A 27,663-nucleotide genomic window follows, 5' to 3' on the forward strand; every position below is an offset into this window, starting at 1 on the left:
ACTAAAAATACAAAAATTATTCAGGCATGGTGGCAGGTGCCTATAATCCCAGCTACTCGGGAGGCTGAGGCAGGAGGATTGCTTGAACCAGGTAGGCAGAGGTTGCAGTGAACTGAGATCACGCCACTGCACTCTAGCTTGGGCCACAGAGCAAGACTCCATCTTTTTTTTTTTTTTTTTTTTTTGAGACAAAGTTTCACTCTTGTTGCCCAGGCTGGAGTGCAATGGCGTGATCTCAGCTCACCGCAACTTCCGCCTCCTGGGTTCAAGCAATTCTCCTGCCTCAGCCTCCCGAGTAGCTGGGATTACAGGCATGTGCCACCACCCCTGGCTAATTTTGTATTTTTAGTAGAGATGGGGTTTCTCCATGTTGATCAGGCTGGTCGTGAACTCCCGGCCTCAGGTGATCCGCCCACCTCAGCCTCCCAAAGTGCTGGGATTACAGGCGCGAGCCACCGCGCCCGGCCTAGACTCCATCTTTAAAAATAAAAAAATATTGGGAGGCTGAGGCGGGCGAATTACCTGAGGTTGGGAGTTCCAGACCAGCCTGACCAACATGGAGAAACCCTGTCCCTACTAAAAATACAAAATTAACCGGGCATAGTGGTGCACACCTGTAATCCCAGCTACTCGGGAGGCTGAGGCAGGAGAATCACTTGAACCCAGGAGGCAGAGGTTTCAGTCAGCCGAGATCATGCCATTGCACTCCAGCCTGGGCAACAAGAGCAAAACTCCATCTCAAAAATAAATAAATAAATAAAATTAATCAGTCAATCAATCAATTGGGTGTGGTGGCATGCATCTGTAATCCCAGCTACTCAGGAGGCTGAGGCAAGAGAATCGCTTGAACCTGGGAGGTGGAGGTTGCAGTGAGCTGAGATCGTGCCACCGCACTCCAGCCTAGGTGACACAGTGAGACTCCATCACAAAAAAAAAAAAAAAAAAAAGTCCAATTTCAACACAGGAACAAAACACAGCATAAGAGATGTCACAACGGTGGAGATACAAATTCAGGTAATATTTTAAGTGACTTTGCTCATTGCTTTTATGTTCTGATTTTTTTTTTTAGATGGAGTCTCACTCACTCGCCCAAGCTGGAGTGCAGTGGCATGATATCGGCTCACTGCAACCTCCGCCTCTGGGGTTCAAGCCATTCTCCTGCCTCAGCCTCCCACATAGCTGGGATTACAGGTGCCCACCACCATGCTCGGCTAATTTTTGTATTTTTAGTAGAGACAGGGTTTCACCATGTTGGCCAGGCTGGTCTTGAATTCCTGACCTCAGGTGACCCACGGGCCTCGGCCTCCCAAAGTGCTGGGATTATAGGCATGAGCCATCATTCCCAGCCTGTTCTAACTTTTTTCATTTGGAAAAAACGTAAAGTTGTAGAAAAGTGTAATGAATACTCACATTTCTCCCCACTTAGATTTACCAACTGATGACCTCTTGCCACACCTGCTTTGTCTCTCTACATATGTATACACACATCTCCTTTTTGTTAAAACATTTGAAAGTAGGTTGCAGATGTCTTCCTACATTATTCTTAAATATCCCAGCTTGAATCTCCCAAGAACAGGAATACTGTCCTGCAGAAGCACAGGGTCCTAACACACTTAAGAAAATCAATATTAACTCAGTCACATCAACCAACATGCTCAAATTTCTTCACCTGTCCCAAATCCTTTTTTTTTTTTTTTTGAGATGGAGTTTTGCTCTTGTTGACCAGGCTGAAGTGCAGTGGCTCCATCTCAGCTCACTGCAACGTCCACCTCCTGGATTCAAGCCATTCATCTGCTTCAGCCTCCCACATAGCCAGGATTACAGGCGCCTACCACCATGCCCAGCTAATTATTGTATTTTTAGTAGAGAGGGGGGTTTCACCATGTTGGCTGGGCTGGTCTCGAACTCCTGATCTCAAGTGATCCACCTGCCTCCGCCTCCCAAAGTATTGGGATTACAGGCATAAGCCAGTGCGCCCAGCCCCCAAATTGTCTTTATGGCTCTTCTCCCAACTCATCACATTTAAAAGTTCTTCTGTACCCTTAATGTACTTCTACTGTGCCTGGAAAATAAATGTAACGTCATTAGGTCTGTTTCTTCCCTTAAGATAAGCTATACTTTAATATTTATTCTAGTTAGACTTACTGGGTATGTGATTTATGATTTATGATTGGATCTGTGAAGAAAACAATTTGGAAAGCATTCCTGGAAAGGCTACACATCACAGTTAGCCTCTAGATGTCCTCCTTGGATAGAAGAAACCTGCAGCTAGTAGCTTAACAAGGACTTTTCCAGAGCAGTCACTATTGAGCAGATGCATTGTTCCCCAGTCAACATAGATGAAAGAGTTTAATAAATGCTTCAGAATTCCAAACTGAATATAAATAAGCTCAATTTATATGGTTCTCCAAACATTTGGCACACCTGAACAAGGTTGTAAGCTGGAAGAGCATGAGGATAAAAAATGAGGTTGACTGTCCTGTAATCCCAGCATTTTGGGAGGCCGAGGTGGGCAGATCACTTGAGAACTGGAGCTCGAGATCAGCCTGGCCAATGTGGTGAAACCATGTCTCTACTAAAAATATAAAAATTAACTGGGCGTGGTGGCGCATGCCTGTAACCCCAGCTACTTGGGAGGCTGAGGCACTAGAATCACTTGAACCCAGGAGGCAGAGGTTGCAGTAAGCCGAGATTGCACAAACTGCACTCCAGCCTGGGTGACAAAGTGAGCCTCCATCTCGGAAAAAACAAAACAAAACAAAACAGCAACAACAACAACACAGAAAGAAATGGCCAGCCATGGTGGCTCACACCTGTAATCCCAACACTTTGGGAGGCCAAGGCGGGCAGATCACCTGAGGTCAGGAGTTCGAGACCAGCCTGGCCAACATGGTGAAACCCCATCTGTACTAAAAATACAAAAATTAGCCGGGCACAGTGGCGGGAGCCTGTAATCCCAGCTACTCGGAGGCTGAGGCAGGAAAATCACTGGAGCCCAGGAAGCAGAGGTTGCAGTGAGCCGAGATAGATCGTGCCACTGCACTCTAGCCTGGGCGACAGAGTGAAACTGTGTCTCAAAAACAAAACAAAACAAAACAAAAAAACAGAAGTTGATAGGACAAAAAGAGACCAGGGTAAGTATTCACAGACTTGTTTCTGCCACTTTCAGCTCTTTTAAAGGGATATCTATATGACTCAATATTGTGCCTTTGTTATACTCATTAGTTAAATGGGCAGAGAAACAGAATGGAATGAGCCTAAATGAGAAGCCATACAGAAGATGTCTGACAGAAATTATTCCAAAAGTGAGAAGAAGAGACCCAGAAAGGATAGGAGTTTCCAAAGAGACAAAGAAGAGCAATTTAGGAGAGTAGTTTCTATGATGAGTGGGACTTTGGGGGGAGATTTATAGGGGATTATAGAATATGTTGTTGTGTTAGATGGTGCAGTTCTACTTTATCTTTCCTCATATTTATTCCAGTTATAATAATAATAATAATTTACTGAATAGTAATTACTGTGTCAGACACTATGCTAAGCACTTTGCATACATTATCTCATGTAATCCTAATAACAAACCTGTGACCTCTCATTATCCCCATTTTACAGTCAAGAAAACTTAGTCTAGAGAAGTTAAGCAGGTCATCCAAGGTCACCCAATTAGTAAATAGCAGAGCTAGCGGAGCAAGGATGTGGGTCTTGGCTGACTCCAGAGCTTGTGTTCTTACGTGTTTTGCTATATAACACGATCATTTGTCACTGACATGTGGGATCTGGAAGCATATGCGAAAGTGTAAAGAGGCCATGCAGCCTACTTCAGCCTACTTCCAGCTGAGGCTGGAGTTGCTACTATGACTTCTATGTCATCAAGCCCTTAACATTCCAGGGTTTTAGATAGTCCTTGCATATTTTCAGAAAGTAACCATTCCTATCACCATTTCTTCACTCACATAAGAAAAATGGTATACTCCTCTGTCTCTCTGTCTTTTCAAAGGCTGGCATTTTTCTTTCCCACTGTTATTCTTCGGGAAAAGAGCCATCCGTGAGAAAGTGGCTAACATGACCTCTGTATGATTCAGAGAAATGTGTCCACCACAACCGAGATAAACTCCTTGTCCAGTGTGGTAAGCATAAACTGACACTTCCTCATCAAAGATGCCCACCTTCTAATCTCTAGAACCTGAGAATATGTTATCTTACATGGTCAAATGGATTTTGTAGATGTGACTAAATTAAGGATCTTGAGATGGGGCGATAATCCTGCATTAGCCAATGGGCCCAAAGTAATCACATGAATCTTTTTTTTTTTTTGAAACAGTGTCTCATTCTGTCACCCAGACTGGAGGGCGGTGGTGCAATCTCAGCTCACTGCAACCTCTGCCTCCCAGGTTCAAGCACTTCTCCTGTCTCACCCTCCCGAGTAGCTGGGACTACAGGCGCACGCCACCACTCCTGGCTAATTTTTTTTGTATTTTAGTAGAGATGGGGTTTCACCATGTTGCCCAGGCTGGTCTCGAACTCCTGAGCTCAGTCTGCCCGCCTTGGCCTCCCAAAGTGCTAGGATTACAGGCATGATTCACCGTGCCCGGCAATCACATGAATCTTATAAGGGGAGGGACAGGATATTGAGAATAAGAAGAGGAGGTATGACGATGGAAACAGAGGCCTGGAATAAAGCAGGGTTACAAGCCAAGGAATGCAGGCCGCCTACAGAAGATGGAAAAGGCAAGAAAACAGGCTCTCCCCTAGAGCCTCCAGAATTCATTGCAGCAGCAATAGGAAATGAAATGAAAACACTTTGTATAGGGATACATGAAGCCATGCTTGCTACTCTATGTCCATGAACACATTTAGAGGTAGACTGACTCCAGAAACTCAGTCATAGCACAGACTGATTGGTGGTAGAGTTCCTCAGTAGGCCAACTCCTCTACACATAAAGGAAAAAAGAGTTCCCCAGATCTCTAATAATGGCTAAAATTCAGACTATTCAGCTGGGCATGGTGGCTCACACCTATAATCCCAGCACTTTGGGAGGCCGAGGTGGGCGGATTGCCTGAGGTCAGGAGTTTGAGACCAGCCTGGCCAACATGGTGAAACCCCATCTCTACTAAAAATACAAAAATTAGCCAGGCGTGGCAGTGCACATCTGTAATCTCAGCTACTCGGGAGGCTGAGGCAGCCTACTTGAGCCTGCCCCAGCCGAGATCACACTATTGCACTCCAGCCTTGGTGACAGAGTGAGACTCCATCTCAAAAAATAAATAAATTAATTAAAAAATCAGACTATTCCTATCCTGTGCCATGTACTGTCCTAAGAGTTTATGTCTACATTTAATCTTCACAATGTTACTGACAAAGCTGGTTCCAGCTGTCAGGTGCCTGTTGCCAGGTCTGCGGTGAGGCAAAGGGCCTTCCCAAATAGGCCTTCCCTAATCTAGTCCAGTGTCCCATCTGGGTTGCCAGTTTTATGAACAACAAAGCTGGTCCCTATAAAGATGTGGTACTTTACTATTTGGTGTCATGAAGTCAATATACAAAACTAAAAGTGAGTGTCAACCAGTGCAGGCTTTATTCAATGGCCATGGAATCCAGAAGTGGGAGCCTGGCTCACTAATCAATGTCTCAATAAGTGAAAGGTGAGGGGACTAAAATTTAGGGCTTCTCTAATAATGGGGTTGGACTTTAAAAGCAAGGGGAGAAATACTCACATTTTTTCTGGAAATGGGTGGTGGGCTTCCCAGAACCATAGTGCTGCCTTCTTTTTTGTGCTTTTATGGCTTCTTCTGGTCACTGTCTTGGCAATTGTCAACTGTCATGGCACTAGTGGGAGTGTCATTTAGCATGGAAGTGAGATTATAATGAAGCCTGAGGTCTTCTTGAAGTCATTTGGTTGGCTATCTTGGTTCTAACCAGTCTCAGTTAGTCTGGTTACAAAGGGAACTTTTAATTGCAGGCATCCTGTTTCTTAAAGATAAACAAGAGTTTGGATACAGTAGGAATTCACCTATGTCACCTACATGTTATACCAGGTGACAAATCTCCCAGTGCTACTGCTTGTCACAGGTGTGATGGCTTCAAGATGCTTTGCAGACCAGAGCGCTGGCCACACAGGCCCTGAGGGCCCGCAATTCCAATGGAGTGGCCATGGTGTACTCCATGGCATCTGGAGGTGGTGTTCTTACTGATGACAAGAAGGCGGCTGGGTTGGAGAGGGAGCTCATGATGGCTGCACGGAAGGGACTGGACCCATACAGTATAATACCCCCAAAGGCAGCTTCAGTCACAGGGAACCCTAATTTGGTCCCCACCATCACCAATAAGTGAATAGTGGGCTATATCTATGAAGAGGACAACAGTGCCATCATCTAGTTTTGGCTACACAAAGGCAAGAGCCAGTGATATCCTAACTGTGGAACCTGCCCCATCAGGGGGCCCATGGAGCCTCTGTGTTAAGTTACTCAAATGTGCTATAAAGTCTTTTCTTTCCAATAAAGACTTGCATTGGCCTCTTCTCCCAAAAACAACAACAAAAAAACAAAAAACACAAATCTCCCTTTTTCTGTACATTCACTCCTCATTCTTTCTCTTTTTTTTTTCTTTGAAACAGGGTCTTGCTCTGTCACCCAGGCTGGAGTGCAATGGCATGATCATAGCTCACTGCAGCCTCAACCTCCTGGGCTCAAGCGATTCTCCCACCTCATCCTGCAGGATAGCTGGGACCACAGGTACATGTCACTACACCCAGCTAATTTTTGTATTTTTTTTGTAGAGATGGTGGTGGTGGGGGGGGGGTCTCATCATGTTCCCCAGGCTGGTCTCGAACCCCGAGCTCAAGTGATCTGCCTGCCTCAGCCTCCCAAAATGCTGGGATTACAGGTGTGAGCCATTGTGTCTGGCCTCAGTCCTCATTCTTGAGGAGTGCTGTGGAATGAAGGTCTGTCTTCTACAGCTTCTTCAAGCTGAGTTTGGGTGTTTACATGGGGCCTATTAGATTAGTGAAATTTTTTCCTAACTAGTCTTAGATAGGTCTGGTTATCTCCTGGGTGCAAATCTAGCTGTTTATATCCCTGTATGGCTTCAATTCACTTTATTTATTTATTTATTTTATTTATTTATTTTTTTTTTTTTGAGACAGAGTCTCACTCTGTTGCCCAGACTGGAGTGCAGTGGAGCGATCTCAGCTCACTGCAACCACCGCCTCCTGGGTTCAAGTGATTCTCCTGCCTCAGCCTCCCCAGCAGCTGGGATTACAGGTGTGTGCCACCACGCCCAGCTAATTTTTGTATTTTTAGTAGAGACAGGGTTTCACCATGTTGCCCAGGCCGGTCTCAAACTCCTGACCTCAAGTGATTCACCTGCCTCAGCCTCCCAAAGTGGTGGGATTACAGGCGTGAGCCACCACGCCCTGCCGTCTTCAATTTACTTAGACACAAAAGAGACCAGACAGTTTGAGAGACAGGGCCCAGAATCAAGAGAAGTAGGATGGCAGCTAAAGAGCCCAGGAAGGGTAAAAACCAGGTGAGATTAGGGATGGCCTATTTTATGATCTCCCATATTCCCTGAGCATTTGTGCCCTTTTCGTAAATTGGTGCAACCACTTGACCTGGTCATAGATAAATTTAATGTCTTTTTCTATTAATGTTGAATTATTTACCAAAGCACAACAGGAAGAGTTAGTGACTACACATATCCCACCTTGTTCTGCCAAGAGGTAATCAAAAGCCAAGTGATTGTCAAGCACAGTATTGGCTAATGAGTCTGGGAAGACTTTGAGGCAAGTAAGAGCATCACAGTCTTATAGGATAGAGTTTCTATAATTGTTGTGAGGTTGCACAGGGTAGCCTCATGCTAGGCAAGCCTTCCCTAGGGGGCAAGGAAACTGCCCACTATCTCGATATCCAGCCAGAATAGTAATCCCAGCACTTTGGGAGGCCGAGGTGGGCGGATCACCTGAGGTCAGGAGTTTAAGACCAGCCTGGCTAACATGGTGAAACCCCGTTTCTACTAAAAATACAAAAAAATTAGCCGGGCATGGTGGCACGCTCCTGTCATCCCAGCTACTCAGGAGGTTGAGGCAGGAGAATCATTTGACCCAGGAGGTGGAGGCTGCAGTCAGCCAAGATCGCGCCATTGCACTCCAGCTTGGGCAAGAAGAGCAAAACTCTGTCTCAAAAATAAATAAATAAATAAATAAATAATAGCAAGAGTGGACTGATCAACTTTTGGGGCTGCCCACTTGAGTATTTCATTAGCTAACAATAGCTGTTTTCTTAGCTCAGTGGTTCTCAAACTTCATTGTGTATCAGGATCCTCCCACCTTAGCATCCTGAGTAGTTGGAACTATAGTTGCACGCAACCATGCCTGGCTAATTTTTGCTTTTGTTTTTGTAGAGACAGGGGTCTCACTTTGTTGCCCAGCTTGATCTTGAACTCCTGGGCTCAAAGTATTCTTCCCACCTCAGTCCTCCTAAGTGCTGTGGGATTACCGATGTGAGCCGTTGTGTGCCGGGTCAGGATTTTAAATAATGATGCAACATGGTTAGCCTTTACCTCCTGCTCTTTTTATAGTATGATACCAAGGCTTATTAACATACTATAGGCATTCTCTTCTAAGATCTCGGGGGAAAACCTATTCTATTTACACGTGTATTATATAATATATTTATTTCACATTTAGCAAAAAAATGCAATCTAAAGATCATGATCATGGCTCATTGTTCCTTGACTTTGATGGGGATAATTGCAAGGCTGAGATTTTTCTCTCCATGTGGGTTCTCATCATTCAGCAAGCAGCAGCCAGTTTAAACTTCTTTACATGGCACCTTTGTTCCAAAACAGCAAAGGCAGAAGCTGCCAAGAATCTTCAGGCTCAGGCTCCAGTGCTCACACAACATCATTCTGCCACATCCTATTGGTCAAAGCAAATCACAAGGCCTGTCCAGATTCTAGGCCATAGGGTAATAGAGTCTACCTTTTGATGGAAGGAGAGGCAATGTCATGGACCATGAAAATGAGGACTCATGAGACTCATAATACTTTAGGAGTTATTATGATAACAATCTGCCACAGTTGGAGAGTGCGAATTATTTTGCTACATAGAGCTTTGATCAACTAAATATAAAATAATCTCTAGAAATTAGCATCTTTTTCTTTTAAATTATTCAAGGAAATTCTTTATCATAAATCTAGTAAGTCTTTAATCAGCATAACATATATCCCTGAGCCAACTTCAACCATTTTCACTGTACCTAAAAAGTAAAACTGCTGAAACTTCATCTAGAAATTGGCAAGAACTTTGCATTTTTCTTCTCCATTTGAATTCTGTGTCTGAAGTGTAGGACTCTCAGCACTATACACACTATCTGAACACTAATTAAAGGGAGGATATATAAAAGAGAAAAAAGAAGTGATTTTCATCCTTTATGAGGCAAAAAAGAAAGTATAAATTTTAAACACAGCAAATTTCCCTTAGATCTGTTCTTTTCTACTGTTTATTGAACATTGGCTCATTCTATATACTTCATGCCCACCCTTCCTTCCTTTCTTCCTTCCTTCCTTCCTTCCTTCTTTCTTTCCGACAGAGTTTCACTCTTGTTGCCCAGGCTGAGGTGCAGTGGGGCGACCTTGGCTCACTGCAACCTCCGCCTCCCGGCTTTAAGCGATTCTCCCCTCTCGGCCTCCCGAGTAGCTGGGATTACAGGCATGCACCACCGTGCCTGGCTAATTTTTGTATTTTTAGTAGAGATGGGGTTTCACTGTTGGCCAGGCTGGTCTCGAACTCCTGACCTCAGGTGATCTACCTGCCTCCGCCTCCCAGAGTGCTGGGATTACAGGTGTGGGCCATCATGCCCGGCCTACTTTGTGATTTCTTAAGAAACAATACATGCATCTGTATTGAGTTGCTGATGAATTTCAATGTGAATAATATTTATAGTTTCTCTTAATTGTCTTAGCACCTGCAGGTGCCTATGATTATTTTCTTTATTTATACTCTCCTTAACTATAGTGAGTCACTATTGAGTTCTGGGTAGCAAATTTAGCTTTAAGTTTCAGCTCAGCTGAAGCTAAATTTCAGAAAAAAAGAAAACAGTCTTGGGGCTGGGTGACAGAGTGAGACTTAGTCTCAAAAAAAAAAAAAAAAGAAGTCTTTGCATTAAATGGTTACAAAATTATCTGAAAATTTATAGGATGATAACAATTATAGGGATATAATAAACATGAAATGCAAAACTGGGCTATTTGCCTGGGCTCGTACTTCTTTTTCTTTCTTATGGTTTCTGTATATTTTGTTTTTTTTATCCTACTTATTTCATTAATGGCAGGACATCAAGTATACAAGAACATAAAAATTTGTTTCATCTGTCAAATGCAAGTTTGTATTAGGTAATCTCTTTGATTTTATGATTTTATTTGCTATTATGGGAAACGTTTGTGATTCATCCATGCAAGTGTTGAGTCTAATACTGACACTAAAGAATGTTTTGTCAGCCAGGCGCGGTGGCTCACGCCTGTAATCCCAGCACTTTGGGAGGCTGAGGCGGGCGGATCACGAGGTCAGGAGATCGAGACCATCCTGGCTAACGCGGTGAAACCCCGCCTCTACTAAAAAATACAAAAAATTAGCCGGGCGTGGTGGTGAGCGCCTGTAGTCCCAGCTACTCGGGAGGCTGAGGCAGGAGAATGTCGTGAATCTGGGAGGCAGAGCCTGCAGTGAGCCGAGATCATGCCACTGCACTCCAGCCTGGGTGACAAAGCAAAGACTCCGTCTCAAAAAAAAAAGAAAAGAATGTTTTGTGAGCAGTTTTCTTTTGTAAATTCAACTGCAAGATTATGAGATCCTAATTGTGAGATTCTGATTCTCTTAATAACTCCTTAAGAATAACACCCATGAAGTAACAAATCTGCCTAAGAGTTCTATGACGCTATAATTGGGATTTCAGAATATTCTGTTCTCTACCCATTGTGATTTCAGGGGTTCTAGAAAACTCCTCTCTACAAAAACAATGCTTTCTTGCCCTCTACGATAACGGATATGACTGGAGACCTTGTCTTTCCATCACTGTTACTTAGAGTAGCACTGAGGTATAATATCCGAACTGTTTTAGAAAGTGCAATAAATTGAGTTTAATTCACACTGGAGTGTAAAAGTATAACATCATAATGCATTTTTGATAAAGGGTAAGATAGAGCCTGGGAAGGAAACATACTAGTTTGTGTCATTTCTGGTAATAAATATCACTGCTTGATGACCTGCATGATGGCATGGTATTATCTTTCATTTGTTCCACATTTACCTTCCAGGTGCTTCAAGGTGTGTCCTAGCCAAGTAGGTAAAGCTGGCAGGTGGGGTAATGTCCCAGGTCAGGACTCACAGGTCTATCTCAATTGGCTCCATTGTCTATTTCACATCTGCCTTTGCTGTCCAAATCCAGACATGGAGTATGCACATGGTAGGTGGAGGAATTTCAAAAGAAAACAGGGCTTATTTTTGAGACAGGAGAATAGGGTTTATTGTTTCTCAAAACAAATGCTCCTGATGTCACCTGGATTATGTTCTGAAAATAAATTGATTTATTTCAGTTTGGACTTTATGTGCAATAAATTGTATGGGTCTCCTAGAAATGAAAACAAATCCCTTAAAAAATATATCGTGCCAGTCAGATGAGTTCCATAAAAAGCAAAAACAAAAACGAAACACAGCAACAAGGAAATTAGTTGAACCATTAAAGTATAAGATCACTAAGCACAAAAATGCTTCCATACATTTTTATTTTATAGTTTTATTTTATTATTTTTTTTTGAGACGGAGTTTTGCTCTTGTTGCCCAGGCTGGAGTGCAATGGCATGATCTTGGCTCACTGCAACCTCCGCCTCCTGGGTTCAAACAATTCTCCTGCCTCGGCCTCCTGAGTAGCTGGGATTACAGGCATGTGCCGCCATGCCCGGCAAACTTTTGTATATTTAGTAGAGATGGGGATTCTCCATGTTGGTCAGGCTAGTCTTGAAGTCCAGACCTCAGGTGATCCACCTGCCTCAGCTTCCCAAAGTGCTGGGATTACAGGCATGAGCCACCACGCCCAGCCTGCTTCCACACATTTTTAGAAAGAACTTAGTGAAACCAAAATATGAAGCCTTTTGGGAAATGTTAACCTAGACTTCTGAACTAGTGTGTAGTATTTTAAAAAGCATTTGATGTTAGAAGGAAAAAAAGAAAGCACTTGATGAAGAGTCAAGAGTCTTGGTATTCAAGTTCAGGCTATTTCATTAACTACCTGAATGACACTGAGCAATCCAATTAAATCTGCTTGTTCAAAGATCTCTAACTCATTTACCATTTATCATTATCATTCTGTGATGCCATTCATTGGTCTTACCTTGAGCTCTAAATCCTCTCTTGACATCTTTAATTTTTATTAAAGGACATTTCCTGCAGTCTCAACTGGCTTGTGCATTTAGCAAAATGACTGTGCATTTCACAACTGCATAAGCAAATTAAGAAAAAATAATAATCCTTACTGATATATACATGGATCTTACTACCATTCTATAAAAAGTTAGGTATAGGCTTGCTGTTTTTATTGAGATGGTTAGATTTCCTCAGCCTGGCCCAAGGCAAGGCTTCTAAAACTGTGAGGTTTGTACAGGTAGCCTCACACCTCTCTTTCTTCACCTCCTCCTACTTCCTCATAAAGCCTTTGCCCTGACCCCAGGTGTCTCTGCTTTCATCATACTTTGCAAGCTGCCAAACACCCACCTCTTTCTAACCCCCTTCTGCCCACTGTTTTGTTCACTCTTTCGTACACAGTGCCTCATTATTAAAATTCCTTATTTATAAAAACCAATGTTCATACATAAAAGTTCCCAACTCAGTGGATATGATGAGGAAAACTATTAGATTAAAAGAATTAATATTAAGTTGTGAATAAATCTACAGCTCATTTTACAGAAATGTAATTGGTGGAATTTCAGACTTAATAGCAACGTAAAAAAATTTTAGGGGGTGCAGGGAAATTTAGGAAGGTACAAGTCACTTAAAGGGCCTGTCTGCTTTATAGCCTTGCTGCTTAAAGTGTGGTCCTAGGACCAATAGCAATGAAATCAGCTGGGAGCTTGTTAGAAATAAGAACCTCAGTTCCACGTGTCAAAATTTGCATTTTAACAAGATAGGGGAAACTCGGGGTAGTTTGTACGTATGTTAAAGTTTGAGAAGCACTGGTTTATAGTATTCCAAGTAGGCAAACACCTTTTCTCCTCTTTAATTTAAAGCGTGGTCAGCTATTGCTTATGAGGATCTGTAGTCAGTGAAGACCAATTTGATGTTTCTAAGCAGCCTTCCAATTGTTGACCCAAGGGCATAATTGCCACAAATACTCTATTATAATTTAATACATTTGGGGGGAAGAAGCATTCCAAAAAGCTTTTTTAACTCAGTGTTGAAGGGATGTACAGCAACTGAAAATTAGAAAACTGTCTAGGATACACAAGTACAGTAGTGAAACCAGAAATCAATGGCTGAATAAAGGATTTCAACCTGTATGACAATCTAAAGCAAATACAACTGTTAAATAAAATTTATGGGAGGCCATTGTTTTGGACTGAGCTTCTGCACTGGCCCAACAGACCAGGCCAAACCAGAATGGAGTCACTGAAACTAAGTGCCATATAATCAACTGAACTTTGAAATTGTCAGTTAAAACCAACCAACCAGGAGATTCACAGCAACCAATCAGAAGGGGCCCAGTTTACCTGACCAAGCATGTTAGAAAGTTCCCTCTGTTTTAACCCTATAAGAAAAGTAGCTGAAAGACCAATCTCCCTTTTGTTATCTTTCTACTTTCTTCAGTGCTTTTTTGCCTATAAAGCCAATCCCCTCTTATCAGCTCCGTGAAACGCCATTCTTTTATGTAGGATGAGATGTTACCTGTTTCTTGAATTGCAGATGAAAGTCAATTAGATATTTAAACTAATTTTTTTTTTGGTAACTTTGTCTTTTGAAGCAAGAATGGAATCACTACACAGTTGCTAGGACTGCTATTGAGAAGTAGAGGAGGAAGTTAATGTTGTGTTTATGTTAAATGTATTAACAAAGGTAGCCAATCCAATCCAATTAATTCCACAAGGTCTTTTTCAACTTCCATCTCCTATCTTGTATGAAGCCTTTTCTGCTTCTTTCTATACATCCGCCTTTATTAGGTGATCAACTGTCCTGGTTATCTTAGGACTATCCTGGTTTTCTCACTGGAGGTTCTGCATCCCAGGAGATCCCTCAGTCTCCAGCAAACCAGGACGATTGGTCACTCTACCTGCACTCCTAGCTAGAAATACTGCTTCTGACTTTTAACTTCTTTAGCTCTCTGAACTCTCACCATTTATTTAGCACCTGTCATATTTTGCTTTACATCATAATTATTTGCGTACAAGAAATGTTTCTGAGATTTGCTTACAAATTACTTCAGGGTAGAACTGCGTCTTTCATCATTTCCTTTGTTCCATGCAGCATTAATCCAGTGTTAGATTTGTAGGAGTCACTCAACAGTTTGAATGAAGGAATCTACTTGAAAAAAATAACTATTGCCAATTGGAACTATGCCTGCCATGGAGTTTCAATCTATTGAATCACAAAAGTGACAGTTTGGAAATCCAAATAGTCTTATATTCCTATTTTTGCATTTAGGACTATTTTAAATGTGGCTTCAATCCAACCTTTCACTCCTCCACTGTGTTCCTTGAACATGATTAATGCAAGAATATCCAGGGGGTAAAAGAAATCAAAAGATAAGCATTTTCCCAGAGAGTAGTGTTTACTTAAAGATTTTATTTTTTTAGTGGGGGTGTGTGAATGTCTGCACAATTAATATGTTTTGTCAGATTTTTCATTTGGGGCAGTATGAAAGATTAGGTGTCCAGAAAAATCCTCCTGGCATGCAACCCCTAAAAATGATGGAATACACGCACACACACACACACACACACATCACACACATACAAATGGTTAAAAGATAAACTTGACCACATTAATATTTTAATGAGTTTACTTGAGCATTCAGCAATGCATGAGTGGGGCAGCACCAGCCTGCAAGCAGTGAAGTGATCCAAGGGGAATGAGAGACAAACTTTTATGACGTGTTTGTGGAAGCAAGACAAATAAAATATATTTGATTGGTTAACGTGGAAATCCCTAGTTAGAAGTTAATTGATGGCTTCTGATTGGTTAGGCTTAAGTTTTCTTTTGCCATTTACATTGAACTTTGGTTTGCTTGGGTAGGAACCCAAGGTGCTGAAGCCATCTCAGCCTAATGGCCTCCCAATTAAACCATATGTGTGTGTGTTTACACACACACACACACACACACACACACGCACACTCAAAAAGCTTTAATATGTATGGCTCAGTTGGTAGGAAGACTTGAAATCAACAGTGCACTCAAATGTTAATATTTGCTCTGGGGGCATTTGTCTACATGGGTGGCCTAATGCTTGGGTTCTAGTAGATTCAGTGAGCAGGGGAGAAAACTAAGACTTAGCCCTTTATGGTGCAAGATTGGATGGAAGCCCCTGCATGGATTTGGGAACCGCCCCCCGCCCCCCACAAAGATACTTCACTTCAGCAGGTAAATTTAAAAAAAAATGGCAGGATTTGTCAGGGATGCTTGTCTGTCTCAACTTAAGTTTTGTCAGAGGAAAAATATGTTTTTATGAAAGTTCCTAACCATGCAAAACAACAACAACAACAACAACAACAAAAGCAAATCCCTAAAATCCCTAGATACAAATTTAAAGTGGCCTTAGATTGGTACTGCTCCACCTGGCAGAATTACCTGGGAGAGCAAATTCAAATACTCTCTGGAAGAAGGTGCTTTAAACCTGGACCTCAGAGAAATCCCAAGGAATATGAATGTATATTGGTAACTCTATGTTTAACTTTTTGAACAACTGCCAAATTATTCTCCAAAGGGGCTATATTATATTACATTCCCACCAACAATGTAAGAAGGTTCCAATTTCTCTACATCTTCACCAACACTTGTTACTGTCTGTTTATTATAGACATTTTAGTGGCTGTGAAATGTTATTTTATGGTTTTTATTTGTATTTCCCTAATGACTAATGATGTTGGACATCTTTTCATGTGCTTTTCGGTAATTTGCATATCTTCTTTGGAGAAATGTCTATTCCAATCCTTAGCCCATTTTAAAATTGGGGCTGGGTGTGGTAACTCATGCCTATAATCCCAGCACTTTGGGAAGCCGAGGTGGGCAGATCACCTGAGGTCAGGAGTTCCAGACCAGCCTGGCCAACATGGTGAAACCCCGTCTCTACTAAAAATACAAAATTAGCTGGGCATGGTGACACATGACTGTAATCTCAACTACTTGGGAGGCTGTGGCAGAAGAATCGCATGAACCCAGGAGGAAGAGGTTGCAGTGAGCTGAGACTGAGCCATTGCACTCCAGCCTGGCCAACAAGAGTGAAACTCCATCTCAAAAATAAATAAATAAATAAATAAAAATAAAAATAAAATAAAATAAAAGTGGGTTGTCTTTTTATTGTTGAATAAGAGTTCTTTATATATTCTGGATACTACTACCTTCTTTTTTCTTCTTTTTTGAGACAGAGTGTTGCTCTGCTGCCCAGGTTGGAGTGCAGTGGTGCGATCTCAGCTCACTGCAATCTCTGCCTCCTGGGTTCAAGCGATTCTCCTGCCTCAGCCTCCCGAGTAGTTAGGATTATAAGCACCTGCCACCACACCCAGCTAATTTTTGTATTTTTAGTAGAGACTGGTTTTGCCATGTTGGCCAGGCTGTTCTCAAACACCTGACTTCAGGTGATCCGCCCACCTTGGCCTCCCAAAGTGCTGGGATTATAGGTGTGAGCCACCACACCTGTCCTAGATACTAGTACATTATTTTATTTTAGTTTTGAGATAGAGTCTCATTCTTGTTGCCCAGGATGGAGTGCAGTGGTGTGATCTCGGCTCTCTGCAACCTCTGCCTCCCAGGTTCAAGCGATTCTCCTGCCTCTGCCTCCCAAGTAGCTAAGATTACAGGCGCCTGCCACCACACCTGGCTAATATTTTGTATTTTTAGCAGAGACGGGGTTTCACCATGTTAGCCAGGCTGGTCTTGAACTCCTGACTTCAGGTGATCCCCCTGCCTCAGCCACCCTAAGTGCTGGGATTAATGGCATGAGCCACTGTGCCCAGCCACTAGTACCTTCTGATGAGGTACAATTTATCTGTGTTTCCTATTGTTACTTTTGCTTTTTGTGTCATATTTAAGAAACTATCACCAAATGCAAGGTCACAAAGATTTAGGCCTATGTTTTTTTCCTAAATTTTATAGTTTTAGCTCTTACAGTTAGGTTTTTGATCCATTTTGCATTATTTTTGTATATGGTGTGAGGTAGGAGTTCACCTTCACTCTTTTGAATGTGGATGTTGAGTTGTCTCGGAATCATTTATTGAGAAAACTATTCTTTACCCATTAAAATATCTTGGCATCCTTTTCAAAACCAATTGACTATGAATGTAGGGTTTATATCTGGATTCCTAATTCAATTCCATTGATTCATATCTCTATTATGTCACAAAGTCTTTTAAAATCTAATCTAATTATATATCATCACTTCTCCCATATTCTATTGATTACACAGACCCATTCTGGTACAATGTGGGAGACACTACATGAGGATGTTAATACCAGAAGGCGGCCGGGCACGGTGGCTCATGCCTGTAATTCCAGCACTTTGGGAGGCCGAGGCAGACCGATCATGAGGTCGGGAGATCGAGACCATCCTGGCTACCACGGTGAAACCCCATCTCTACTAAAAATAAAAAATTAGCCGGGCGTGGTGGCAGGCGCCTGTATTCCCAGCTACTCGGGAGGCTGAGGCAGGAGAATGGTGTGAACCTGGGAGGAGGAGCTTGCAGTGAGCCGAGATTGTGCCACTGCACTCCAGCCTGGGTGACAGAGTGAGACTCCGTCTCAAAAAAAAAAACAAAAACAAAAACAGAAGGCAGGAATCACTGGGGGCTATCTTGGAGGCTAGGTGCCACATAGCAATAACCATATGATTACCCCTTTTTAGACAGAAAAAAATATGTTCTTAGTAACTTGGTAAAAAAGAGAACTTCTAAATCTGATAAAAGCAAGTTTCAAAATACATACTCCAAACATCGTGTTTAATGATGAAATGAAGCATTCCTGTTAAAACTAGGAAGCAGACAAAAATGGCCACTATCCCCACTGTTACTCACCGTTGTACTGTAGGTATTAGCCAGTATAATAAGGCAAGGCAATGAATAAGAGATATAAGAAGTTGAAAGGAAGATATGACTCTAATTCTTGAGAGATAATGATTTTCTACATGAAAAACTGAAAAAGGATCTATGAACCAGTTAATAAGAGCAATTAGGAAGGTTTCTGGATATAAGATTATACCAAAACACATTAAAACTTTCTTTTTAAGTGATAGTCTTATTATAACAACAAAATTTTTAAATATTCAGGAATAAATCTGACAAAAATGTGTAAGATCTTGATGGAGACATTTATCAAAGTTTATTTATTTATTTATTTTTGAGACGGAGTCTCACTCTGTCGCCCAGGCTGGAGTGCAGTTGTGTGATCTCAGCTCACTGCAACCTCCACCCCCTCAGGTTCAAATGATTCTCCTGCCTCAGCCTCCCAAGTAGCTGAGATTACAGGCAGGTGCCAGAATGCCCAGTAATTTTTCTTTTGTATTTTTAGTAGAGACGGGGTTTCACCATCTTGGCCAGGCTAGTCTTGGACTCCTGACCTTGTGATCCACCCTCCTCAGCCTCCCAAAGTGCTCCCTTACAAGCGTGAGCCACCGCGCCCAGCCTATCAACATTTATTGAAAGACATTAAGGGAGACTAAATAGAAAGACATAGCCTATCTGTGAATAAGAACTATCAGGAAGAGAGTCATGTTCTACTAGGTTTTCGAATCTTATTGTTCAGTTGTACTAATTGAAAATATGAGGTATTGACAAAACAATGAACAAATAAATCAATAGAACAGACAAGAAAGCACAGAAACCGACCACACTATGGGAACTTGACATAAAATAGAACCATCAGTTTAGGAAAAGATACTCAGTTGGATCCATTAAGATTTTTTTTAACTCATATCAAACAAAAGTAAATTTTAAATGGATGATTCAAGATTCAAATGTGAAAGTAAAACTTTAAAACTTCTTAAATAAATTATGGGAGATCTCTGTGATCTCAGGGTGAAAGGATTTCTTAAGACAGAAAAACTCAAACCATAAAGGAAAATATCACTACCTGCTGTTTATCAAAATACATTATAAAAAGAGTGAAAAAGGCAAGTGACAATCTAAAAGAAGTATTTGTAATATATATATAACCGTGTGAAAGAAAAAAACACAAAGGGTCAACTAAATACATGAAAGTGCTCAAAGTCACTGGATATCAGGGAAATTCAAAGTAAAACCAGAATCATATTTCCTGTCACATATACCAGACAGGCCAAAACTAGCCAGAGGTGAAGATGTGGAATAACAGGTGCTCCCTTCACTGCTACTGAAAGTTGGTACAGCCCCCATGGAAGACAATTTGGTATTGTTCTATAGTTCCATAGATGTGTACAAACCACCTCAAACTTAGAGACTCAAAATAACACACCACATTTTCTGTGGGTCAGCAAATTGGAAAGGACTTGGCTGGGCAATTCTGTAATCTCCTTTAGTTACAATAGGACATCTGGGACTTGGAGCAGCTAGGGGTTGGCTAGCATCTGTCTTTTTTTTTTTTTTTTTTTTGAGACGAGGTCTCCCTATGTTCTCAGGCTGGTCTCAAACTCCTGGGATCAAGTGATCTTCCCACCTCGGCCTCCCAAAGTTTTTGGGATTACATATGTGAGCCACTATGCCCGGCTAACTAGGATCTGTCTTCATGTTATCTCAGGATCCCTGCAGGTGACCTCTCAACATGGACTAGGTTGAGCTCAAAACATGGGGGCCTCAGAGTGCTTACAAGGCTGCTACAGTGCTTACAAGGGAGCTAAGATCTTTTCAGAGCAAGTATTTGATGTAACAAAGTAGAAGCTGCATGGCCTTTTATGAACTAGCCTTGAAAGCCACATGGTATAACTTCAGCTATATTCTAAGGGTTGAAACAGTTGCCCACCCGCTATCAAAGGAAAGGGATATAGATTCCATGTCTTAATGGGAGGTGTGTCAAAGCCACATTGTAAAAAGTCCACGTGAGATTAAAGTTACTTTTGTGGCCATCTTTCTTTCTTTCTTTTTTGGAGACAGGGTCTCACTGTTGCCCAGGCTGGAGTGTGGTGTCATGATGATGGCTCACTACAACCTGGAACTTCTGGGCTCAGTTGATCCTCCTACCTCAGCCTCCTGAGTAAGTGGGACTACATGATTAGCTATGTGCCACCATGCAAGGCTAAGCAGCTTTCAAAAATACAATCTGCTACTGGCACTATTTACTAAAGCTGAAGATTTATATACTCTATGACTTATAATTTCACACCTGGGTATTTGCCCTAAGGAAATTCTTTCCCATATGTGCCTGGAGACAAAACTCTCTTTATTATAAAAAAAAATGAAAACCACCAAGATGTCTAGCAACACTAGAATAACACAGAAACATTTTGTAATTACAAAAAACTGAAACATTGTCCAGTAACACTGGATAAATTTAAAAATATGAACAAACCTATTTATGCTACTTTATCTTATATTGTTTAGGAATATCTACATTTGTGGTAAACTAGTAAACAATAGAGAAAAACAAAGGAATGATTAACCCTAAATTTGAGACAGTGGTTTGAGGAAGGGAGAACAGGCAGGAGAAACAATCAGGAAGAGGCATACTCGGAGGGTTAAGGTTCTGGAATGTTCTGTTTCTTCTCTTTCTGTTTCGGTCTGTCACCCAGGCTGGAGTGCAATGGTATGATATTGGCTCACTGAAACCTCTGCCTCCTGGGTTCCAGCGATTCTCCTGCCACAGCCTCCCGAGTAGCTGGGATTACAGACACCCACCAACATGCCCAGCTAATTTTCGTATTTCTGTAGAGACAGGGTTTCACCATGTTGGCCAGGCTGGTCTTGAACTTCTGACCTCAGGTGATCCACCCACCTCGGCCTCCCAAAATGCTGGGATTACAGGTGTGAGCCACTGCGCCTGGCCTGGAATGTTCTGTTTCTTAAGTTGAGTGGTAGTTATTTAGTGTTCAGTTTATTGCTAATCTCTTTTTTTTCAAACAAAAGATTTTACATATTTATTACTGAACCAGGCTGGTAGTGCAGAGCATATTCGTATATACTAATTTTTGCAATTAAACATGTCCAACTGTCCAGATAGTGGTGATGTTTCCAGCTTGATATGGTCAGATGATAGTGACCTTGATACAGAATAGATATGTGTGCCATCCCATGTGCAAATCCTTATAGACCCAGCTTCGTTCTTCTCCAATGTCTCCTCTTGGTGTTGTACCTGATTACCAGTTTTCATCCAAATCCGCTGGGGAATGAGACAGTTTTGCTTTTGTTTCTTGGCCAGGAATTACGTGATCCTGAAAGTCTTGTGAGAAGACATGGTGAAAAACTTAGTCCTATTATTAATCTTTAAAACATACGTTTATGTTGCATACATTCTTATATTTATAATTTTCATAAAATTTGAAAAAAATACATTTATATAAAAGGTGGGCCAGGCGTGGTGGCTCATGCCTGTAATCCCAGCACTTTGGGAGGCCAAGGTGGGTGGATCACCTGAGGTCAGGAGTTCAAGACCAGCCTGGCCAACATGGGGAAAACCTGTCTCTACTAAAAAATACAAAAAATTAGCCAGGTGTGGTGGCAGGCACCTATAATCTTAGCTACTTGGGAGGCTGAGGCAGGAGAATCGCTTGAACCCAGGAGGCAGAGGCTGCAGTGAGCCAAGATCGCACCACTGCACTCCAGCCTGGGCAACAGAGCAAGACTCTGTCTCTAAATAAATAAATAAATAAATAAATAAATAAATAAATAAAAGGGTTGGTCATATGTATAAGCCAGTAAAACCAACAGGAATCTGTTTTCCCCTAGAAAGTCTATTAACCAAGAATACAGATAGGAAACTTGTATTCTTCTCTAATGATAGACCTTTAAACATTTTTTAGAGTACCATTGATATGATAGAGTAGAATGCAAAATTTACATCCATTTCAAAGATAGAACAAGCAGGATGCAGTAGCTCATGCCTGTAATCCCAGCACTTGGGGAGGCTGAGGCAGGATGATTGCTTGAGCCCAGGGGTTCAAGACCAGCCTGGGCAACATAGCAAGACTCCATCACTACAAAAAAATTTTTAAAAAATTAGCTGAACATGGTGGTGCGCACCTTTAGTCCTCATTACTTGAGAGACTGAGGTGGGAGGATTGCTTGAACCTAGGAGGTTGGGGCTGCAGTGAGCCATGATAATGCCACTCCAGACCAGGCAACAGAGTAAGATCCTGTCTCCAAAAAAAAAGATAAAACAGACTAAGTGGGGACATGGGGCCAAATGCCTACATTCCCTGGCAGGTGGGGCATTCAAATTTATCCTTTCTCTGTAGAGGGTATTTGGACAGAAAAGTTTGAAAATCAGTGGGTCTCCTGGCCAAGTTAATTACTGATTATTTCCTGAAGACATTCTGTTTCTTCTGACTTCCATGCTTTTGTGCCTGCTATTATCTCCAATACAAACCTTTCAAGTCACAAAATTTACTTGGTAAGATGGAAGTAGGTGAGAAGCCAACTTGTTCTTGCCTGGCACCAGCACAACTTTGACCTACATTCTGTTTTTGCACAGAAGGAAGATGATCTTAGGTTTGTGCAAGTCTGCCTGACCTGAAATTTGAAGACCTGGATCATAGCTATTTGGTGAAATTAATTGTTGCTTTATATATATATATGTATATTTTTTGTTATTCAGAATTTATTCAGCCCAACCCACCTATGAGGGAATCTTAGTCAACTTCCCAATAGATGGCAATTGATTATATTGCTAAAATTACCACAATTGTTACTTGAATTTTTACTGGACAATCTAATCTAGACAATTAGATTCCATTCCACTGGAACTAATAGGTGGACTGTTAGAATATTGCAAAGAGGAATTTATATAGTTCTACAGAGCTACTTTTTTATCTCCAAGTATGAAGTTTAATGTCTTCCTATTTCTCATTCTAAAAGATATGCCAAGAAGACATATGTCTCATTATCACACATTGGAGAGCTCAGTTCTGAGTCAGTGACCCTCTCACCTACAGAAATCATCCACTGTGTCAAAGGAGGCACTTCAGTGAGGCAGGTTGGCTAACCTTGTTCTCTATTGCTTATGGGGCTTTATATGTCCTGAGGACAAAAGACTTGAGTTTCAACATCCATCATTTCTGCCTGTTGGATTTCTTAAATCCATCCTATTTAGGAGAAATTTCTTAAGGTGTACATCCCACTTCCTACATGCGTGATTCCGTGATATTCAAAACCTATTTATTGAGTGCCTACAATCGCTGTGATACACACTACCCAGGGGAATCAAGAATGGGTAAGACCATCTCTGTTCTTCAGGAGCTTTATAGTCGTGTGTGTGTGTTTGTTTGTGTGTATGTGGGAGAATGAAGTGGGAGTTAAAAAGTACATAGAAAACTGTAATATAAGGCAGAACACACATGCTATGTGTAGGCCTGCCAATAACATTTCTGGGATTAATAACAAAAGAACAAATTGAGGCCCACATGCCATATACTTAAATCTGTTAAAGTTGTAAATCAAGTTAACATAGACTACCAAATAAAATATAGCCTCATACCTCAACAAGTAAATTTTCATAGCAACCAAATAGAAAAATATGTGCGTAAAGCTATAGTTTTTATATGATTGAAAGTGAAATGTCAAAAATGACAGAATTTAAATATTATCGCATGTGTCCAGATGTTCCACTGATAATCCAGTGATGTGTGGATGAGAAATAAAATTTTTAAAGTGTAATTTATATATCATTATATTTATTCCATAATTTTTATCTTGCCATCTTTTCAAAAAAATTGCAAATTATGTTATTATCATTCAAGTTTTTATCTGTATTCTATCTACAGCAATTACCTAGATGTAGTAAAAATTAAAGGGTACAGGCCAGGCACAGTGGCTCATGCATGTAATCACAGCACTTTGGGAGGCCGAGGCAGATGGATCACTTGAGGTCAGAAGTTCGAGACCAGCCTGGCTAATATGACGAAAACTTGTCTCCACTAAAAATACAAAAATTAGCCAGGTGTGGAGGCAGGGGCCCGTAATCCCAGCTACTTGGGAGGCGGAGGCAGGAGAGTCACTTGAGCCCTGGATGCGGAGGTTGCAGTGAGCCGAGATGGCGCCACTGCACTCCAGCCTGGGTGACAGAGCAGGACTCCATCTCAAAAAGTAAGTAAATAAATAAATAAATAAAGGATACAAAAATTGCATATGGTGAATATATTTTCATTAAGAATGTCAATGTAGGCCGGGCGCCGTGGCTCATGTCTGTAATCCCAGCACTTTAGGAGGCCGAGACAGGCAGATCATCTGAGGTCAGGGGTTCCAGACCAGCCTGGCTAACATGGCAAAACCCCGTCTCTACTAAAAAAAAAATACAAAAATTGGCCGGGCGTGGTGGCGGGCGCCTGTAATCCCAGCTACTCAGGAGGTTGAGATAGGAGAATCGCTTGAACCTGGGAGGTGGAGGTTGCAGTGAGCTGAGATTGCGCCACTGCACTCTAGCCTGGGTGACAGAGCAAGACTCTGTCTCAAAAAATTAAAAAAAAAAAAAAAGAATCTCAATGTAAAAATGTAAAATAAAAACTACTGGCCAGGCACGGTGGCTCATGTCTGTAGTCCCAGAACTTGGGGAGGCTGGGGCAGGCTAATTGCTTTAGTCCAGGAGTTTGAGATCAGCCTGGGCAACATGCCAAAACCCCATCTCTACAAAAAATACAAAAATTATCTAGGCCTGGTGGTACGTGCCTGTAGTCACAGCTACTCAGGAGGCTGAGGCGGGAGGATCACTTGAATCACTTGAGCCCAGGAGGTTGAGGCTGCAGTGAGCTGACAGCGTGCCACTGCACCCCAGCCTGGGTAACAGAGCAAGACCCTGTCTCAAAAAGATTTATTTTATGTTTTATTTTACTTATAAAATATTTTATCTATTAAAATTGAGTAGAAAATAAAATTATAACTAATTAATATCAATATTTTAAGTCACAATTATAAATCTGACATTTAGAAATGTTTTGGCCAGGTTTGGTGGCTCGTGCATATCATCTCAGCACTTTGGGAGGCCAAGCTGGGTGGATTACTTGAGGTCAGGAGTTCGAGCCCAGCCTGGCAGACATAGTGAAACCCTATCTCTACTAAAAATACAAAAATTAGCTGGGTGTAGTGGTGCATGCCTGTAATCCCAGCTACTAGGGAGGCCAAGGCAGGAAAATTACTTGAACCTAGGAGGCAGAAAGCCGAGATTGAACCACTGCACTCCAGCCTGGGCAACAGAGTGAGACTCCATCTCAAAAAAAATAAATAAATAAAATTTTTTTTTTTCACCTAACGTATTGCATATAGTAAAGTACACAAATCTTAAGTATATAATTTGAAGAACTTTTATACTTGTGTACATCCATGTATTCATCACCCAGATCAGACACTGAATATCTCTAAGACATTAGCAAGCTCCCTCATGCCAGTTCTCCAAGCTGATAACCCTGCAAAAGGTAACCATCAATCAGATCTCTATCACCAGATAAGAGTTTTGCCTGTTTTTTAAACATTATTGAGATATAATTCACAAAATATACAGTTCACCCATTTCAAGTGTACAATTCGATGCTTTTTTTAGTATATAAACAGAGTTGTGCAAACATCAACACAATTTTAGAACATTTTCATCACCCCCAAAAAGAAACTCTATCTCCAAACACTCCCCCTTTCCCACCCATTTTCCCAGCTCTAGGCAACTGCCAATCTACTTTCTGTCTGTATGGATTTACCTATTCTGGACATTTCATATGAATGGAATCATACAATTTGTCATCCTTTGCAAGAGCTTTTTTTCACTTAGCACATTTTCAAGGTTCATCATGTTGTAGCACATGTCAGCACTTTGTTTTTTTTTTTAATGGCTGAATAATATCCCATTGTATAGATATGTCACATTTTAACAATCCATTCATTAGTGGATGAACATTTGAGTTGTCTTCACTTTTTGGCTATTATGAATAATGCTGCTGTGAACATTCTTGTGTGGCCTTAATGTTTCTATTTCTCTTGAGTATGTACCTAAGAGTAGAATTGCTAGGTGATATGGTAACTCTATGTTTAATTGCCAAACTCTTTTGTAAAGTAGTTGTACCATTTTTACATCTTTTCACTTAAAGTCTGTTTTGTTTGATATAAGTACAGTCACTCCAGCTTTCTTATGGTTGCTCTTTGTATATATTTTTCCATTCTTTTACTTTCAGTCTATGTGTATCTTTTTTTTTTTTTGAGATGGCGTTTCACTCTTGTTGCCCAGGCTGGAGTGCATTTGTGCAATCTTGGCTCACCGCAACCTCCGTCTCCCAGGTTCAAGTGATTCTCGTGCCTCAGCCTCTCTAGTAGCTGGATTACAGGCACGCGCACCGCGCCTGGCTAATTTTGTATTTTTAGTAGAGATGGGGTTTCACCATGTTGGTCACGCTGGTCTCAAACTCCTGACTTCAGGTGATCCGCCTGCCTCTGCCTCCCAAAGTGCTGGGATTACAGGTATGAGCCACCGTGCCTGGCTGTATGTGTATCTTTGAATGTAAACTGTCTTCTGTAGCCGTGTACAGTTGGGTCTTTTTTATAAATGTAGCCTGACAATCTCTACCTTTTGATTGGATTGCTCAATTAATTAACATTTATTATTATTATTGATATAGCTGGATTTATACCTGACATTAAAATTTTTGTAGGCCAGGCCCGGTGGCTCATGCCTGTAATCCCAGCACTTTGGGAGGCTGAGGAGGGTGGATCACCTGAGGTCAGGAGTTCCAGACCTGCCTGGCCAACATGGTGAAACCTTATCTCTACTAAAAATTTAAAAAATTAGCTGGGCGTGGTGGCAGGTGCCTGTAATCCCAGCTACTCAGAAGGCTGAGGCAGGAGAATTCCTTGAACCTGGGAGGCAGAGGTTGCAGTGAGCTGAGATCGTGCCATTGCACCCCAGCCTAGGCAACAAGAGTGAAACTCCGTCTCAAAAAAAAATTTTTTTTTGTTTCTATCTCTCATGTCTTTTTATTCTTCTCTTCCTCCTTTACTTTTTTTGTGTGAATATTTCTTAGTGTAAAATTTAAATCCTTTACTGATTTTTTTTTACTACATTTCCCTCCTCTCCCCTCCCCTCCCCTCCCCTTCCCTTTGCAAGAGCTTCTTTTCACTTAGTACCTTTTCAAGGTTCATCCATGTTGTAGCACATGTCAGCACTTCATTTTTTTTTTAATGGCTGAATAATGTCCCATTGCATAGATATAATACATTTTAACAATCCATTCATTAATGGATGAACAGTTGGGTTATCTCCACTTTTTGGCTATTATGAATAATGCTGCTGTGAACATTCTTGTACAAGTTTTTGTGTGGCCCC

At 41.4% G+C, this 27,663-nt stretch overlaps 2 pseudogenes, besides 1 other annotated feature; one reads left to right on the forward strand and one right to left on the reverse strand.

Annotated features, from left to right (window-relative positions):
• Positions 833 to 1,005: a silencer, noted in NCBI's record as "fragment chr1:179219631-179219803 (GRCh37/hg19 assembly coordinates)". NCBI's record gives its function as "represses an EF-1alpha promoter that drives an FKBP-Casp9 reporter gene in an ReSE screen in HepG2 liver carcinoma cells and K562 erythroleukemia cells {active_cell/tissue: HepG2 | K562}" and the evidence as "EXISTENCE:reporter gene assay evidence [ECO:0000049][PMID:32094911]".
• COX5BP8 (cytochrome c oxidase subunit 5B pseudogene 8) lies at positions 6,070 to 6,418 on the forward strand (annotated as a pseudogene).
• On the reverse strand, positions 21,264 to 21,619 carry RPL39P11 (ribosomal protein L39 pseudogene 11; annotated as a pseudogene).

This window comes from Homo sapiens, chromosome 1 (genome assembly GCF_000001405.40).
Source record: "Homo sapiens chromosome 1, GRCh38.p14 Primary Assembly".
NCBI classification, from domain to species: domain Eukaryota; kingdom Metazoa; phylum Chordata; class Mammalia; order Primates; family Hominidae; genus Homo; species Homo sapiens.